The following is a 17604-nucleotide window of genomic DNA, read 5'->3' on the forward strand; positions in this document are numbered from 1 at the left end:
TTGACTCATGTCTCACCTGCCACACAACAGAGGCCCAGGAGGCACAGCAGCCTGTGGTCTCTGCTCATGATTGAAGGAGCCCCTAAAACAGGGCCGGAAGGCCCAAAATAGCCACTCAACAAACATCTGTCGCATAAATGGAAGTCACGTGCCTCATTCCAAGTCTTTGCTGTTCTTCAAAAAATAATGGTACTCCAAAAAATAATGATACTCCAGATTACACTGAGCCATGACCACACCCCTGCACTCCAGCCTGGACGACAGAGCGAGACCTCGTTCCTTACAAAGAATTATACTGAGTACCTAATATGCAATTGCATTGCTTTAGTAGAATTCTCTCATAAGTACTCCCCTGGTGTCGGAATCCACATTGTTCCCAGTTGTTCTCTGTTCTAAACTCATGCTGAACATTCTTGTGCATAAATCTCTGCCTACATCTCTGATTATTCTTACGGATAGACTCCTGAAAGTACTAAGAGGAAGGATTAATCTGCGTTCTGATTTTAAACAGCCCATTTGTCTAAATATTAGCAGGGCCTAAGATCTGGAATAAATGACACAGTGGCAAAAGTCGGAGTCACACGTCCTGGTTGGTTTCAGAGAGTCCTGGGGTGAAATGGTGCCTTTGGGGTCCATCCCTGTCTAGCACAGGAGTCCCCTTTGCAGCAGTGTCCATAAAACGTTAGCTTGGGCTGGGTGTGGTGGCTCATGCCTGTAATCCCATCACTTTGGGAGGCCGAGGTGGGTAGATCACCTGAGGTCAGGAGTTTGAGACCAGCCTGGCCAACACGGTGAAACCTTGTCTCTACTAAAAATGCAAAAATTAGCCTGACGTGGTAGTGGGCGCCTATACTCCCAGCTACTCAGGAGAATTGCTTGAACCTGGGAGGCGGAGGTTGCAGTGAGCCAAGATCGCACCACTGCACTCCGGCCTGGGGGACACAGAGAGACTCCATCTCAAAAAAAAAAAAAAAAGTGAGCTTGGTGATGAGTCTGGGAAGAGCATCTCTTCATTCATTCAGTCCACAAGTATTCACTGTGTCTGCCCCGAACCTAGCACCATCCTTTGGCCCAGGAATAGAACGGAGGAATGTACATCTCCTCAAATGTCTCCTAGAAATTGAGACCTCACCATTCTCGCTAAGCTCCCTGAGGGCAGGGACTGTGACTGTCTCATTCACTGCTCGTAGTTAATGCTCAAATGGTTTTTGAATAAATTAAAATACAATATGTGGGCCAGTGCGGTGGCTCACGCCTGTAACCCAGCGCTTCGGTAGGCCGAGATGGGTGGATCACCTGAGGTCAGGAGTTTCAGATCAGCCTGGCCAACATGGAGAAACCCCATCTCTACTAAAAAATACAAAAATTAGCCAGGTATGGTGACACACACCTGTAATCCCAGCTACTCAGGTGGCTGAGGCATGAGAATCGCTTGAGCCTGGGAGGCGGAGGTTGCAGTAAGCCAAGATCACACCACTGCACTCCAGCCTGGGCAACAGAGCGAGACTCTGTCTCAGAAAAACATGTGGTTCCTCTCTTTGACAAGTTCCAAATCTATTGATGTAATTGATGTATAGATACATCAGTAAATCACAGATGTATTTTCAAAGTTCTGAAATGTAACTAGAGATTTGTTTATTTTTGAGATGAAGTCTTGCTCTGTCACCCAGGCTGGAGTGCAGTGGCATGATTATAGCTCACTGTAGCCTCAACCTCCTGGGCTCAAGTGATCCTCCCACCTCACCCTTCCGAGTAGCTCGCACTATAGGCACTTGCCACCATGCCTGGGTAATTTTTTTAGAAACTTTTTGTAGAGCAGGAGTGTCCCTATCTTGCCTAGACTGGTCTTGAACTCCTGGCCTCAAGCAATCCTCCTGTCTGGGCCTCCCAACGTGCAGGGATTACAGGTGTGAGCCACTGTGCCCAGTCAGAGGTTTCGACATGAGCAGTTATTCAGAAAGGGACCTGGAAGAATATTTTGAAATCAGACCTAGAGTCAAATCAGACTTATTTAAGAGAATTAACCAATGGAGCCTGAATTTGGCTTCTCCCATTTCCTACCACTGATCCCCTGGCCATGAGGACAGTCCTGCAGGAAATTCCTGTGCCAGGTGGGCTAGCCCAGGACACATGGCTTTGGAGACTAGGCAGGGAAGATCCAGCCCAGGGTACTGGAGCTGGCGCTTGCATGCCCCTCTCACTGGGGTGTCTGATCCCCAGATGCCAACGAGGCTCTGGCTGTCCTGTCTGAGCTGCCCCTGAGGCCACACACAGGATCTCAGAGTGGACAAACAGCCTTTCCCTTGACAATGAGCAGTTCTCAGCTCTGAGACCAGAAGAAGCCTTAGTGCAACCATTTCTCAAAGTTTCAGTCTCTTAAAATTGAGGACTCCGGAGAGCTTGAGTGCGTGCGTGCGTGCGTGCGCTGTATCTCTCAGTATTGACTGTGTTAGACATGAAAGCTGAGGAGTCTGCAAAGCACAGGAACACACAAACACACGAGCCGCTGGTGTCAGAGTGAGGCTATCATCACACATCGCAGGCATCTGGAAAACTCCACTGTACACTTGCGGGAGAAGGCGAGGAAAAGGCAAGTAACAAGAATAGTTTTGACCTTGTGGATCCATGAAAGGATCTGGGGAGCCGGGAGTCCCCAGACCCTGCTTTGAGGATCGTTGGCTTAGTGGCATTGGCATCCAGGCTCCACCATAATCCTGAGCCGTGGCCACGTGCTGCCAGATCACGGCCTCTGTGCAGTTCGAATCTGCCCTTCTTCTTAGTCCTTTGCACCATCCTCAGCCTTTATCCTCCTCGGTCCACATTCAGGCATTGCCACTTAGATAACCGCCCCCGCGCCCCCCTCCCACCCCACTTTTCAACATCAGACAAGTCTTTTTTTGTTTGTTTGTTTTTTGAGACATAGTCTCATTCTGTTGCCCAGGCTGGAGTGCAGTGGCACAATCTCGGCTCACTGCAGCCTCTGCCTCCCGGGTTCAAGCAATTCTGCCTCGGCCTTTGGAGTAGCTGGGATTAAAGGCACATGCCACCACGCCTGGCTAATTTTTCTATTTTTAGTAGAGTTGGGGTTTCACCATGTTGGCGAGGCTGGTCTTGAACTCCTGCCCTCATGTGATCCACCTGCCTTGGCCTCCCAAAGTGCTGGGATTACAGGTATGAGCCACCATGCCCGGTCTCATCATCAGACAAGTCTTGCAGATCCCCTCTTGATCAGGAACTCAGGGGTCCCCACCTGCAGCTTCAGGGTACCCCTCGCTGCTTACCAGCAGGCACCCTATGTTGAAATCCTGCACCCTCATCTCAGTTCCCAATCCCACCAGTCCCCCAAAGCCAGCCCTTCCCGTGGTGGAGTTGTACCACGTACCACGCAAAAGCCACAGCATCAGCATTGGAGACTCTGCCAGGACACGGAACGTGTTTTAAATGGCACAAAGACATTTAAATGGGAAGAAATTATAGCAGGAGTGAGTTTATCCCTTTCAAGATAATCTTATTTAATAACCAAAAAACTCACAAAGATGTGCATTTTATCCGACTACAAAAGCAGCGTGGCGGGTTATATATTGTGGTAATTACATGTTTGGGGTTTCATTCCTCCTTTAAACCAGATTTCTTTTATTTCAGAAAATCAGCCATTGTAGAAAAAGACTATTCATTTATTTCATTGCTGGGTGGCCTATACACTGTAAAAATAGGTCAAGAACAGTAATCTAAATTGACTGCTGATAAATAATTAAAGCTAATGGAATTTTTCTCAAACCTGTGAACTAAAATCTTTGAGAAATTGCCAGGACATACTTACTGTCTGCTGTTGTATAGAAAGATATTTTTTATTTAATACTTGAGTTTCAATGCCATTTAAAATTACCCTTTTCTATCACAAGGACTGGAAGGAATATGTGTTCATCTATAAAAGTAACCAAAGGAACGATGCCGTGTTGATGGTTATATGGTTCATCTTCAGATGAGATGGGAAGTGACGGTTTCAGTATCCTGGAACAAAAGAAACATCATTTTTCACTGAACTGGATTTTAAGTTGAGGTCTACAGTCCACATATCATATAATATATATTGTCTTGTTTTTAAAGACTCCATACCTGGTCTGAGCTCTTGTATACATTGATAAGGGAAACTTAACAGCTATCTAACGTGACATCCAGGAAAATAAATACTAAGAACATTTTTTCTTTCATTAGTAATTACTGTTCTCTCATTGCTGCTACCAGGACCTTATAAAAAGACATTGGGGTCAGGCGTGGTGGCTCACGCCTGTAATCCCAACACTTTAGGAGGCCAAGGCAGGTGGATCCCTTGAGGTCAGGAGTTCAAGACCAGCCTGGCCAACATGGTGAAACCCCGTCTCTACTAAAAATACAAAAATTAGCTGGGCATGGTGGCGGGCGCCTGTAATCCCAGCTACTTGGGAAGCTGAGGCAGGAGAATTGCTTGAACCCAGGAGGCAGAGGTTGCAGTGAGCTGAGATCGCGCCACTGCACTCCAGCCTGGGTGACAAGAGCAAAACTCGGTTTGGAAAAAAAAAAAAAAAAGAAATTACAAAGTGAGCTAAGACCAGAGGAGAGGGGAGAGGCAAGAGCGGAGAATTACCCCAGATGAGGGAGATCTGGAACAGAAGGTGACAACAGGCCAAGCCACAGGGCCAGGTCCCTAAGGGTCCCCACCTCTAGCACCATTGGCAACAACCTTGTGAGAGTCAGAATCAAGTCTTTCAGAAGTGACCCAGTTCAGCCCCTCACTACCCCCACCCTGCCCTAGTGCTCTTGGAAAGACTACATTGTCTCCGAAGGAGAAAGGGTCCCACCCCTGAACTGTCACTGTACAGGATGGGGTACCACCAAGAGATGTTGTACCTCTTAAATGCAGTCAGGGTTATTTCCCAGAAAAGTATCCAAGTTACTGTAGGATGAAAAAGACATCCAGAAAAACCTGGATTATCAGATTTTTTTTTCCCCCATTTGGAGACAGGGTCTTGCTCTGTCACCCAGGCTGGATTACAGTGGCACAGTCATAGCTCACTGCCATCCCAAACTCCTAGGCTCAAGCCATCCTCCACCTCAGCCTCCAAAATAGATAGGACTACAAGCCTGCACCACCATACTCACTAATTTTTGTATTTTTTTCTAGAGACGGGATTTCACCACGTTGCCCAAGCTGGTCCCGAATGCCTGGGCTCAAGCAATCCTCCTGCCTTGGCCTCCCAAAGTGCTGGGATTACAGTTGTGAGCTACCAGATACTTTTTTTTCTCTTTTTTTTTTTTTTTTTTTTTTGGATGGAGTTTCCTGGGTTGAAGCGATTCTCCTGCCTCAGCCTTCTGAGTAGCTGGGATTATAGGCATGCACCACCATGCCCACCTAATTTCGTATTTTTTGTTAGTAGAGATGGGGTTTCTCCATGTTGGTCAGACTGGTCTCCAACTCCTGACCTCAGGTGATCTGCCCGCTTCAGCCTCTCGAAGTGCTGGGAATACAGGTGTGAGCCACCACACCCGGCCCAGATATTTTAAAAACAGAAATGACTTGATGACTTTGGAGATGTGTTTGTAATTCACAGCCTCCTTCTATGTGTGCATTGTGTTTGTGCTGATTCCAGTGAGCCTCTCGCTCCTGCAGACAGAGGTGAACCTCCATGCAGCAGCTCAGCGTGTCACCAGCTCTGGGTCCCTGGCACGCGACTCTGGGATATGGGGAGTGGAAGAGAGCTCATGGGAATTGGGAGCACGAGGCCCTAAGATGGAGCAGAGCCTTCCAGAGAGGGCTCGGGAGTGTGTGTGTTACGACTCCCGCTCGTACGTTACAGGTGCAATTGAACACTGCATGACGATTTTGTCTCTATTTTGCTTTTACATCAGAATGGTTTCCTCCAGCAATTGGCATTACCTAGAAAATTCCTTAATAGCATTTTGCTGTTCAGTTCTCTGACCTAAAAACTGAGTTGTGAATCAGCAGTTTCGAGAATAATGGAAATACGGCCAGACACAGTAGCACACGCCTGTAATCCCAGCACTCTGGGAGGCTGATGTGGGTGGATCACTTGAGCCTAGGAGTTTGAAATCAGCCTGGGCAACATGGCGAAACCCCGTCTCTACAAAAAATGCAAAAATTTGCCGGACATGGTGGCGCATGCCTCTAGTTCCAGCTGCTCGGGGTGCTGAGATGGGAGGATTGCTCGTGCCCGGGAGGTCACGACTGCAGTGAGCTATGATTGAGCCACTGCACTCCAGCCTGGAAGAGCGAGACACTGTCTCAAAAAAAAAAAAAAAGAAAAGAAAAAGAAAAGAATGGAAATCCTTCCACATAGAAACCTCTCTGTGTAAACATCATTTATTTGCTGTGTACTCAAAGGAGAGGAGGTTGACATGAGCTATTTTGGCTTTTGCCAAAAGGCATATGATTGGAATTATCTCAAGAACATCACTTTCTGTGCATTAAGATGTTTGTTGCTTTTTGCCCAATAGATGGGATGGGATGGAAACAAGGTGAAAACATCACTGACAAACCTGAATTAAGTATATAACTGAATTAAGTGTGTAACGTGTAACTTGAAGTAATTAAGTTTTAAAACATGGCCGGGTGCAGTGGCTCAAGCCTGTAATCCCAGCACTTTGGGAGGCCGAGGTGGGCAGATTACTTGAGGTCAGGAGTTCGAGACCAGCCTGGCCAACATGGTGAAAACTTGTCTCTACTAAAAGTACAAAAATTAGCAGGGCGGGGTGGCTCGCACCTATAGTCTCAGCTACTTGGGAGGCTGAAGCAGGAGAATCGCTTGAACCTGGGGGGTGGAGGTTGCAGTGAGCCGAGGTCACGTCACTGCACTCCAGCCTGGGTGACAGAGCGAGACTCCATCCCCCTCCCCGCAAAAAAGTTTTTAAACGTGTTCACTGCCTCCTTATCATTTGTTCCACTGTGGTTTTGGCCAGCCTGAACCCCACTTTTTCCAGTTTATGACCACAAAGAAGGATTGTGCGGGTGTGCATGAGGACCAGTAAGTGGCAGAGTCTGCATTTTCTGGTGCTGTCCAGACAGCAAAGAGTGCTGTGTTCTAGAAAGACAGTAAATCGTATCATGTCCTTGCTAACCGACGATGGAGAATTCTGTGGGTCAGAATTGAGCATCTTTTTTGAGACAGAGTCTCTCTCTGTTACCCAGGCTGGAGTGTAATGGCATGATCTTGGCTCACTTGCAGCCTCAACCACCCGGGTTGAGGTGGGGAGCCTCCCAATGTGCTGGGACTATAGGCGTGAGCCGCCGTGCCTGGCCAGAATTGAACATCTTTGTATCTTTCTTCTTAGTTTAGTACAAAACTGAATAATATTTGCAGGCAGCAGAATTGGATCGGGAATTTCTCAAACTGCCAAAGATGAAATTAGAATGAGTGATTTTTGGCTGGCAGCTTGAAGTACATATATATCAGTTTGTGTATGATACGTGTGAGTATGTAGTGGTTTTTCCCTCTTCAACTGTCTTTAAATATGTGTGCGTGCGTGAGTGTGTGTACAAACACACGTAGCTTTAATATCAAAAAGGTTATTTTTGTAGGTCTGTTAGGAGACATGAATATGCTCAAAAGGGAAAAAAATACATGGATAGGGTGAGAGGAGTTTGCTTTATTTAAGGACATGATAAAAGGCATAGCCCTTCTGCCTTTCTGGAATGCTGTAACAGAATATAGAAATAATTGTATCATCTCCTGTACTTCTCAGAGCTGGTGTTTGCGTGAGGCTGGCCCTGTGCCAGGTTGGCAGGGTTGGGGGTAACCCAGGAGCATGCCTGCTAAGGCACACTGCCATTCAGGGCCTGGCCTTGCCCCTGCGCCCCAGCCCCCTGCTCTCCTCCATCCAGCTCTGCCCTCTTCCATTTCTCTGCTACAGTCTGAAATCTCTCAGCCACACCAGCTTTCTCATTCCATGACCTCATCTGACTTGTCTCCTTCCCCTCTGAATCTGAGCCCTTGTTAAGCCTTTTTTTGTTTTTTCTTTGAGACAGAGTCTCACTCTGTCACCCAGGCTAGAGGGCATTGGTGCAGTCTCAGCTCACTGCAGCCTCTGCCTCCGCGGTTTAAGCGATCCTCCCACCTCAGCCTCCTGAGTAACCTGGACTACAGGCATGCACCACCACGCCCAGCTTATTTTTATATTTTGAGTAGAGATGGGGTTTCGTCATGCTGGCCAGGCTGGTCTCAAACTCCTGACCTCAGGTGATCCACTTGCCTCAGCCTCCCAAAGTGCTGGGATTACAGGTGTGAGCCAGCGTGCCCAGCCATAGCTATTCTTCCATTCATTCCCTCATGCACCCTTTCCATGTCTTTTGAGTCCCCACTGTGTGCCAGGCCCCATGGTCGTTTTCCCTGGACCCTGCTGGGATCATAGTAATCTTCCCCCATCATTCTTTACGCCTTCCACACTCTTTTCCCTTGTTACCCTTTGTGTTATATGTTGTCCTCTACCTTTCTGAAAAGCACAGTGGGTGAAATGCGGTGATGTGTTAGCTTCCTGTTGCTGCTGTCGCAACCTGCCATGCGCCGAGTGGCTTAAAACAACAGAAATTTATCATGTGACAGTGCTCGAGTTCAGGAGTCCAAAGTGGGATGGATTCCCCAGGCTGGAATCAAGGTGTCAGCCAGAGTTGTGTTCCTATTAGAAGCTCTGGGGGAGAATCAGTTTCCTGGCAGTTTCCAGCCTCTCGCGCTGCCGGCATTCCTATAGCATTCCGACCTCTGCGTCGGTCCTCAGATCTCCTCTGACTCTGAGCCTCCTGCCTGTCTCTTACTAGGAGCACTGGGATTACACTGGGCCCACCTGGATAATCCAGGGTCATCTCCTGACTCATGATCCCTGACATAATCCCATCTGCAAAAGCCCCTTTTACCATTGCAATCTAACACATTCACAGGCGCCAGCTATGAGGACGTGGTTATCTCTGGCGGACTATTATTGGTGCTGACCACAGATAGCCTTATTTATATAAAAAGAGATTGGTGGCCAGGCATGGTGGCTCACGCCTGTAATCCACAGCACTTCAGGAGACCAAGGCAGGCATATCGCTTGAACCTGGGAGTTCAAGACCAGCCTGGGCAACATAGTGAAATCCTGTCTCTACGAAAAATACAAAAACTAGCCGGGTGTGGTGGCGCATGCCTGTGGTCCCAGCTACATGGGAAGTTGAGGTGAGAGGATCCCTTGAACCCGGGAGGTGGAGGTTACAGTGAGCCGAGATCATGCCACTGTACTCCAGCCTGGGTGACAGAGCCAGACCCCGTCTTAGGTGGGAAAAAAAAAAGATTGGTAAAGAATCTGATTATTTTTTGTCCTGGAGCCTGGTGTAAAAAAATAGAAAATCATCTAGTTGAGGAAGTAACAGGATTGACTTCTCCAAGGAAATAATGGTATCACGTTTAGAAATGCATCCTTTGGAACAGTATATAGTTAAAAGGGAAATTATAATGCTTCTTGACCAAATGTTTCTACAGGATCACAATACAAAATAACGTGGGCTGTGATGATATTTGTCAAAAAACTTGTGGTACAGTGGCCAGGTGCAGTGGTTCACACCTGTAATCCTAGCACTGTGGGAGATCAAGACAGGCAGATCGCTTGAGTCCAGGAATTCAAGACCAGCCTGGGCAACATAGCAAGACCCTTATCTCTACAAAAAAATAAGAAAATTAGCAAGGCATGATGGTGTGCGCCTGTAGTCCCAGCTACTTGGGAGGCTGAGGTGGGAGGATCGCTTGAACCCAGGAAGTTGAGGCTGCAGTGAGCTATGATCACACCACTACACTCTAACCTGGATGACAGAGCAAGACCCTGTCTCAAAAAAACAAAAGCTTGCTGTACAGGCCTGTCCTGTAGGTCCCTCTGCAATGATGGAAAAATTCTGTGTCTGCATTGTTGGAAGCAGTAGCCACCAGCAACGGGTGGCTACCGAATCCTTGAACTGTGGCTAGGGTAACTAAGAAACTGAATTTTCCAAATTTATTTAACTTTAAGTTATATTTAAATATAAATAAGCACATATGGCTGTATGTGTTGAATAAGAAGACTTTTTCATCTGGGATCTTGATAGGTCTTACTTAGGAAGCCTCTGATAAAATAATTTGCAGAGTTTTATTTCTAATGGCAAGGTCAGTAGCTTTCCTCAGATTCTCAGAAGGCTTCATCAACTAAAATGTAGGCCTAGCCCGGTGGCTCATGCCTGTAATCCCAGCACTTTGGGAGGCTGAGGTGGGCGGATCACCTACGGTCAGGAGTTTGAGAACAGCCTAGCCAACATGGTGAAACCCCGTCTCTACTAAAAATACAAAAATTAGCCAGGCATGGTGGTGGGCACCTGTAGTCCCAGCTACTCAGGAGGTTGAGGCAGGAGAATCACTTGAACCTGGGAGGTGTAGGTTGCAGTAAGCCGAGATCTCGCCACTGCACTCCAGCCTAGGCAACAGTGAGACTCCGTCTTTAAAAAAAAAAAAAAAAAAAAAAAAAACATAGTTTCAATGCCTAAACTTTCAGTAAATAAGATATTATCTTAGTCGAGTCTTTTCAAAGTTTTTGAAGCACTTTCTCAGTTACTTCATTTTAAATAAAATGCTCTGAACAAGATCATAAGCATGCACCTATGGGATGTCCTGGTGTTTCGAAATGGGCACTGGTGGCATGGGATAAAATTTATTGTGACTCTGTCAGATGTGGATTCAAAACAGGCTGTATCTCCGACTTAACAGTGCATTAAAATGGCAGCTAGGGCCGGCCATGGTGGCTCATGCCTGTAATCCCAGCACTTTGGGAGATGAAGGTGGGCGGATCACCTGAGATTAGGAGTTCCAGACCACCTTGGCCAACATGGCAAAAACCCATCTCTACTACAAATACAAACATTAGCCGGGCGCCTGTAGTCCCACTTACTCGGGAGGCTGAGGTGAGAGAATCACTCAAACCCAGAAGGCAGAGGTTGCAGTGAGCTGAGATCTTGCCACTGCACTCCAGATTAGGCGACAGAGCGAGACTCCATCTCAAAAAAAAAGAAGAGGCAGCTAAAATACAGTGCAGTGGCCCAGGTCCATTTCAGATAGAAACAGCCAGGCAAACCCCCCATTCTAGTCTATTTTATTCTAAGCAGATTATCTCACTTAGACTGACATCAGCAAAAGCTTTAGTCTGTAGCACATTCAAAATGAGGTATATGTGACCAGGAGTTAGTAGAAATAAAACATCGTTGTAGGCCAGGTGCGGTGGCTCACACCTGTAATCCCAGCACTTTGGGATGCTAGGGTGGGCACATCTCTTAAGCCCAGGAGTTTGACCCTCGCCTGGACGACATGATGAAACCCTGTCTCTACAAAAAAATACAAAAATTAACCAGGCATGGTGGCGTACGCCTGTAGTCTCAGCTACTTGGTAGGCTGAGGTGGGAGGATGACTCTAGCCCAGGAGGCAGAGGTTGCAGTGAGCCAGGGTTGTGCCACTGTGCTCCAGCCTGGTCAACAGAATGAGACTCTGTCTTCAACAACAAGAACAACAAAGAACCACCTCGTTGTATTCTTAAATAAGTTTAAATCCTGAAGCGCCAGTTGGCGTTATTGATGTTTTAGGAGTGCAGGAATGGGTGAGGTCCCAGGCTTGCTTTAGATAGTGATAATTAGCACTGACTGCCACGCTGTTTTTAGGAGGCCTTAACCAATGTTTCCCTTCTTTCTCCTTCTCAAATGGCTGCTTCCTGACCTCCGCCTCCTGCTCCAGGATTTGCGCAAGCAGGTAGCGCCGCTGCTGAAGAGTTTCCAAGGAGAGGTAAGCTTTTCTATTCATTTTCTATCCTGAGCCACCCTTCGTGGCTAATTGGTCTTTTTATTCACATTAAAGAAATGCTCCGGGCAAAAGGTGCTGCCCAGATGGTGCCTTCCCGGCTGCTCCGACCCAGCGTCATGCAGATTTTGCGCTCTGTGATGTGATTTTCCATTGGGTCCTTGGTGAAAGCCCTCCTGGAAAAGGAAGCTATGCTCAGAATACACAGAGCTGTGGTGGATTGCCAGCAGAAGTGCCCCGTGTGTGGTTGCAACAGGCAGGTTGTTGGCGCTACGGCCTTCAGGAGCCCATGCATCCCCTCTAGGAAGTCGCCTTGTCCCCCTGAGCTGGTCTGGGGCTGCCACTGCCATGAGTGTGTGCCATAAGTGTGGTGCTTTGCTGAGAGGCTGGCGGGGGCACAGGGAGGCCACTTGATCACAGGCTTGAAACACAGAGCATCTAGCAGAAGCCACGAGGAGCAAGCCTAGGCTCAGTAGAAGGAAGTGGTTTCTAACGGATCCTTCCAGAGAAGGACGGAGCCATCTGGCAGACGGCACGTGGGTGGCAAGTCACCTGGGACATCCGCCCTGGCTACCTGTTAGCGGGAACAGCAGCCATAGAGGGGACTGGGCTCCACGTGAGTGACACTCTTTGCCAGCCCTTTGTGTGAAGATTCAGTGATGTTTAGAAAACCAGAAATTATATTATTCTTGCGGATTTATTGAATCTCACCTCTTTAGCTTCTCCCGACGGAAAAACAGAAAGTGGAATCATAGCAGGCTGATAAGGAAAGGAAACGAGACATTTCCAAAGCCCCTGAAAGAGCCCATATTGGTACAGTCTTAGGGATTTTTTTTTTTTTTTTTTTTTGGCGACAGAGTCTTGCCCTGTCACTCAGGCTACAGTCCAGTGGTGCAATCTAGTCTCACTGCAACCTCCGTCTCCCAGGTTCAAGTGATTCTCCTGTCTCAGCCTCCCCAGCAAATGAGATTGCAGGTGTGCACCACCACACCCAGCTAATTTCTCTATTTTTAGTAGAGATGCAGTTTCACCATGTTGGCCAGGCTGGTCTCGATCTCCTGACCTCAGGTGATCCACCTGCTTTGACCTCCCAAAGTGCTGGGATTACAGATGTGAGCCACTGTGCCTGGCAGGGATTTTATTTTCTTGCAACTGCTAAGTCACAGGGAACACATGGGGGAAGGGACAGGAGAGATATGGCCGTGAGATACAGGAGAGATATGGCCGTGAGATACAGTAGGTTCCTCTTGGGACACAGGTGATGTGGGCCTTATATATGGAAGGCTGGGTTCCTGGTCCCAGAGCTCTAGAGCAAGTTGTCGGGCTTCCATTTGGGAAATTCATCAACTGGGAGCGAGAGCAGGGAGTGAGTGAATGAAGGAGGCCAGGGCGATTGTAGCCAAAGACAGAGAGGCGATTTCAGGACATCAAAAGGGACCAGCGTAGAAAGAAGACACAGCAGTTGGTGATGGCTGGAAATTTTCGAGGGCAGAACAGTACCCCTCTCTTCTTATGATCTTCTTCCTGCCTCATTCAGCCCCCATGCACGTAGCTTGGTCCGGCCAGCAGGACACCTGCATCCCAGGGCTTGGATGGACTTGAACAGTCTTTTTCTCAGAACTTCATCTCCAAGCCCGTAGTTGATGAGTGAGGCTGTTACCTGACACCTACCCACATTTGATCTTACCTGTTCTGTTACCTGTCCAGCGGCTTTTGGGAGACCCACTGGCTTCCTAGTTCTCTCGCTCAAAGAGTTCAGTGTGCTTTCTAGGTGTTTGCTTGTTTTTCTTTCTTATTGAAAAATTTCAAAGCTGTGTAAAAATGGAAAGATTAGTACAGTGAATACCTGTATGCTTTTTTTTTTTTTTGAGACAGATTTTCACTCTTGTTGCCCAGGCTGGAGTGCAATGGCACAATCTCAGCTCGCTGCAACCTCCGCCTCCTGGATTTAAGCAATTCTCCTGCCTCAGCCTCCCAAGTAGCTGGGATTACAGGCATGTGCCACCACGCTCAGCTGAGTTTTGTATTTTTAGTAGAGACGGGGTTTCATCATACTGGTCAGGCTGGTCTCTCATTCCTGACCTCAGGTGATCCGCCCGCTTCGACCTCCCAAAGTGCTGGGATTACAGGCGTGAGCCACTGCGCCCGGCCCACCTATATGCTCTTTACCCAGATCCACAGTTGCTAACATTTCACCCCATGTACCTCCCCCCTCCCCTCCCCGCCCACCACTTTTGCTGAACATTCAGAAGTAAGTTGCAGAAGCAGGCACTGTGTCCCTCAAACACACGTGGAAGGCTCCCGAAGTTAAGGAATTATTAGCATTCTCCTACATTACCACAATAACCACAAATATCACACCTGGGAAAATTCACAGTAATTCCAGGTCATCTCATATTTGATCCAAAATCAAATTTTTCCAATTATCCCCAAGATGTCTTTTATAACGGCCCTCCTCGCAACTGAGGTCCAGTCAGGTTCACACATTACATTTGGAAATCTGTCTATCTAATTTTCTATTTTAAAAAGTGTTTTTTTTTTTTGAGACAGGGTCTCGCTCGGTAACCCAGGCTGCAGTGCAGTGGTGCCATCATGGTTCACTGCAGCCTCCACCTCCTGGGCTCAGCAATCTTCTTGCCTTAGCACTCCCCTGCCCCCACCGCCAGATAGCTGGGACTATACATGTGCACCACCACATCCGGCTAATTTATTTTTATTTTTAGTAGAGACGAGGTTTCAATACATTGCCCAGGCTTGTATCGACATCCCGGGCTCAAGCCATCCTCCCACCTTGGCTTCCCAGAGTGCCTTGATTACAGACATGAGCCACTGTACCCGGCCCCTGCATTATCTCTTTTAATGTAGGACATCCTCTCCATCTCCATCACCTTCATTTCTTTTTATTTTTATTTTTTCTAGACAGGGTCTTGCTCTGTCCCCCAGGCTGGGATGAAGTGGCACAATCTCAGCTCACCACAACCTCCACCTCCCAGGTTCAAGCAATTCTTCTGCCTCAGCCTCCCAAGTAGCTGGGATTACAGGCATGCACCACCTCGCCCAGCTAATTTTTGTATTTTTAGTAGAGATGGGATTTCACCATGTTGATCAGGCTGGTCTCAAACTCCTGACCTCAAGTGATCTGCCTGCCTCAGCCTCCCAGAGTGAGTGCTGGGATTACAGGCATGAGCCACCGCGCCTGGCCTGATTTTTTTGTTTGTTTGTTTGTTTGCTTTTTTGAAGAGTCTTAGCAAATTATCTTGTAGATTAGCCCACATTCTCAGTAGGATAATGGGTTTGATTCCTGATACCTTAAATTTGAAATACCCAAGAAACATCTAGGCTAAGCTTCCATTTGCCTATTTTTTTTTAAAGGCCATATGAAAGCTAATCATAAATAAATACATAAAATTATCATAGATTTTGAACCCACAAAAGAAAGGTAATTTTTTGGCACCATTAATTAATATTTATCAAGCCTCCGCTAATTTATAAATAAATTTTATTATGTATACTTAAGGTATACAACATGATGCTATGGGATACATACAGACAGTAAAATGGTTATACGGGGAAGCAAATTAACATATGCATCGTCTCCCTTAGTTACTCTTTTTCATGTGTGTGGCAGGAGCAGCTAAGATCTCATTTAGCAGAAATCCCTCATATTGCAATTATATTTACTATAGTCCTTGTTTGCACATTAAATCTCTAGACACTCCCAGCATCATCCCTCCCAAAATGTGACATTTATATTAAATAATTTGTACTTTTTTTTTTTTTTGAGATGGGGTCTGGCTCTATCACCCAGGGTGGAGAGCAGGGTGGCATGATCTCGGCTCACTGCAACCTCTGCCTCCCTGGCTCAAGCGATTTGCCCACCTCAGCCTCCCAAGTAGCTAGGACCACAGGCTCTTGCCACCATGCCTGCCTAAATTTTTGTATTTTTTGGTAGAGGTGGGAGTTTCACCATGTTGGCCAGGCTGGTCTTGAACTCCTGAGCTCCAGTGATCCGCCCGCCTCAGCCTCCCAGAGGGCTGGGATTACAGGCATGGGCCACCACGCCTGGCCTGGAAGTGGTTTTTAAAATATTTTACTTCCATCCTTTCATTATGATGTGTTCCTATTAAAAAGGTGATCATGTGTGGAATCCCAGCAGTTTGGGAGGACAAGGCAGGAGGATCGCTTGAGCCCAGGAGATCGAGACCAGCCTGGTCAATATAGTGAGACCCCGTCTCAGTCTCATGCCTATAATCCCAGCACTTTGGGAGGCTGAGGCGGGTGGATCACCTGAGGTCAAGAGTTCGAGACCAGCCTGGCCAACATGATGAAACCCCGTCTAATAGACTAAACATACAAAAATTAGGCGGGCATGATGGCATGTGCCTGTAATCACAGCTACCTGGGAGGCTGAGGCATGAGAATCAGTTGAACTCGGGAGGCAGAGGTTGCAGTGAGCCAAGCACTCTAGAGCCACTGTACTCTAGCCTGGGTGACAGAGTGAGACTCCGTCTAAATAAATAAATAAATAAATAAATAAAAGTTTCAGATAATGAAATGATTACTTATAATTATTATAACAAAATCATAAAATGTAACTCACACTGAAATTAGATATCGATTGATTGATTATGATACCTAATTTTGGGTGTTTCACAAGCCCAGCAAATTGATGGGTGGTGTGGGGGAGGTGTACCCTTAATATGAAGTCCAATTTAAAGCTTATTCTAGCCCAACAATTTAGACAATCCCTTTAGTAAAGTAATGCACATACCCTCTAGGAAAATGCTGTCTTTCCACTAGTCTGGCCAATCCTTGCTTCTCTCCCTGAGAAGGGGCGTGTTATGGAAGGTTGAGGGGATGAGGGGCTGGCTCAGAGAACCTCTTGGTAGTGGGGGACAAGTGTCCTCAGGGAGGAAAATCCTCTTAAGAAATAACTTGAGTGCTCGTATTAGAGAATAAATGAAAAACAATCTATGAACTAAGCATCGGCTTTATAAAATTACAGTAGGCTGGTATGATGGCTCACGCCTGTAGTCCCAGCACTTTGGGAGGCCAAGCCAGGAGGATCATCTGAGGCCAGGAGTTTGAGACCAGCCTGGCCTAACCTAGCAAGACTCCATCTCAATTAAATAAATAAACAAACAAATAAATGTACAACAGAATAAGTTCAAATAGAATGAAAGAAATGACAAATATAATAATAAACATAAGAATAGAAATGAATGAAAAAAACAAAGAGCCAGGAGAGAAACATTGCAAAAGTCATTTATTTGAAAATACCACTGCAACTGACAAACCACTGTACTCATCAAGACAAAAAATGTTAGGAATAAAATTGGGGATGACATTGCAGCTGCTGCAGAGATTAAAAAGATAAAGGGAATGTTATAAGCAACTTTCTGCCAATAAATACTGAAGTCGAAAAAGTTCCAAAATTCTGTAACTACCAAAATTGATTAAAGAAGAAACAGACAACTTGAATAGCTTTGTAACTATTACTGAAATATTTCCATAAGGTCTAGACAGTTTCCAAGAGAGTTTTATCAATCATTCATGAAATAGAGAGTTCTCATACTTAGCAGACTCCTTCAGAAAATAGAAAGAGCGAGCACTTCTTAACTCCTTTTATGAGGCTAATATAACCTTGATACCAAAACAAGACAAGAACAGTACAAGAAAGGAAAATTAAAAGTCAGTCTTATTGGCCACGCATGGTGGCTTACGTCTCTAATCTCAGCACTTTGGGAGGCTGAGGCAGGCAGATCACTCGAGGTT

At 46.6% G+C, this 17604-nt stretch overlaps 1 protein-coding gene across 25 annotated transcripts in view, besides 1 other annotated feature; it reads left to right on the top strand.

The window, feature by feature from the left end:
• CUX1 (cut like homeobox 1) overlaps nucleotides 1–17604 on the top strand; it is a 467952-nt gene that overhangs the window by 200325 nt on the left and 250023 nt on the right. For 24 of the 25 annotated variants that reach the window (NM_001913.5, NM_181500.4, NM_001202545.3 and 21 more), the window contains one exon: nucleotides 11767–11814. The exons of the other annotated variant lie outside the window; for it this stretch is intronic. In NM_001913.5, coding sequence (NP_001904.2) covers nucleotides 11767–11814 — 48 coding nt within the window. The remainder of the gene's footprint in view (nucleotides 1–11766; nucleotides 11815–17604) is intronic. 25 annotated transcript variants of the gene reach the window in all.
• Nucleotides 14330–14379: an enhancer, noted in NCBI's record as "active region_26418". NCBI's record gives its function as "activates an Ori minimal core promoter by ATAC-STARR-seq in GM12878 lymphoblastoid cells {active_cell/tissue: GM12878}" and the evidence as "EXISTENCE:reporter gene assay evidence [ECO:0000049][PMID:35858748]".

Source organism: Homo sapiens, chromosome 7 (genome assembly GCF_000001405.40).
Source record: "Homo sapiens chromosome 7, GRCh38.p14 Primary Assembly".
Lineage (NCBI taxonomy): Eukaryota > Metazoa > Chordata > Mammalia > Primates > Hominidae > Homo > Homo sapiens.